The 1,073-nt window shown below is 46.0% G+C and overlaps 1 annotated feature.

Moving 5' to 3' along the window:
- Positions 359 to 860: an enhancer, noted in NCBI's record as "NANOG hESC enhancer chr3:116238426-116238927 (GRCh37/hg19 assembly coordinates)". NCBI's record gives its function as "activates a minimal SCP1, AML or CMV promoter by ChIP-STARR-seq in naive H9 embryonic stem cells {active_cell/tissue: H9 hESC(naive)}" and the evidence as "EXISTENCE:reporter gene assay evidence [ECO:0000049][PMID:30033119]".

Below are 1,073 nucleotides of genomic sequence, written 5' to 3' on the forward strand. Positions count from 1 at the left end.
TGTGGGGAGCGCCTCTGCCCGGCCGGGACCCTGTCTGGGAACTGAGGAGTGTCTCTGCCCCGCCGCTACCCCGTCTGGGAGGTGAGGAGCGTCTCTGACCAGCCGCCCCGTCTGAGAAGTGAGGAGCCCCTCCGCCCGGCAGCCGCCCCGTCTGGGAGGTGGGGGGCGCCTCTGCCCCACCACCCTGTCTGGGAAGTGAGGAGCCCCTCTGCCCGGCTGCCACCCCATCTGGGAGGTGTACCCAACAGTTCATTGAGAACGGGCCATGATGATGATGGCGGTTTTGTCGAATAGAAAAGGGGGAAATGTGGGGAAAAGAAAGAGAGATCAGATTGCTACTGTGTCTGTGTAGAAAGAAGTAGACATAGGAGACTCCATTTTGTTCTGTACTAAGAAAAATTCTTCTGCCTTGGGATGCTGTTAATCTATAACCTTACCCCCAACCCCGTACTCTCTGAAACATGTGCTGTGTCCACTAAGGGTTAAATGGATTAAGGGCGGTGCAACATGTGCTTTGTTAAACAGATGCTTGAAGGCAGCATACTCCTTAAGAGTCATCACCACTCCCTAATCTCAAGTACCCAGGGACACAAACACTGCGGAAGGCGGCAGGGTCCTCTGCCTAGGAAAACCAGAGACCTTTGTTCACATGTTTATCTGCTGACCTTCCCTCCACTATTGTCCTATGACCCTGCCAAATCCCCCTCTCCGAGAAACACCCAAGAATGATCAATAAATACTAAACAAATTTAAAAAAAAATAAAAATAAAAAAATAAAATGAAAGCTTAAATGAAAAAAAATAAAAAAAATAATAAAAAAGAATCATCATTCTGACTGGCGTGAGATGGTATCTCACTGTGGTTTTGATTTGCATTTCTCTAATGATCAGTGATGATTAGCTTTTTTTTCATATGTTTATTGACTGCATAAATGTCTTCTTTTGAGAAGTGTCCATATCCTTTGCCCACTTCTCCATGGGGTTGTTTTTTTCTTGTAAATTTGTTTAAGTTCCTTGTAATTTCTGCATATTAGACCTTTGTCAGGTGGGTAGACTGCAAAAATTTTCTTCCAA

Source organism: Homo sapiens, chromosome 3 (genome assembly GCF_000001405.40).
Source record: "Homo sapiens chromosome 3, GRCh38.p14 Primary Assembly".
NCBI classification, from domain to species: Eukaryota; Metazoa; Chordata; class Mammalia; order Primates; family Hominidae; genus Homo; species Homo sapiens.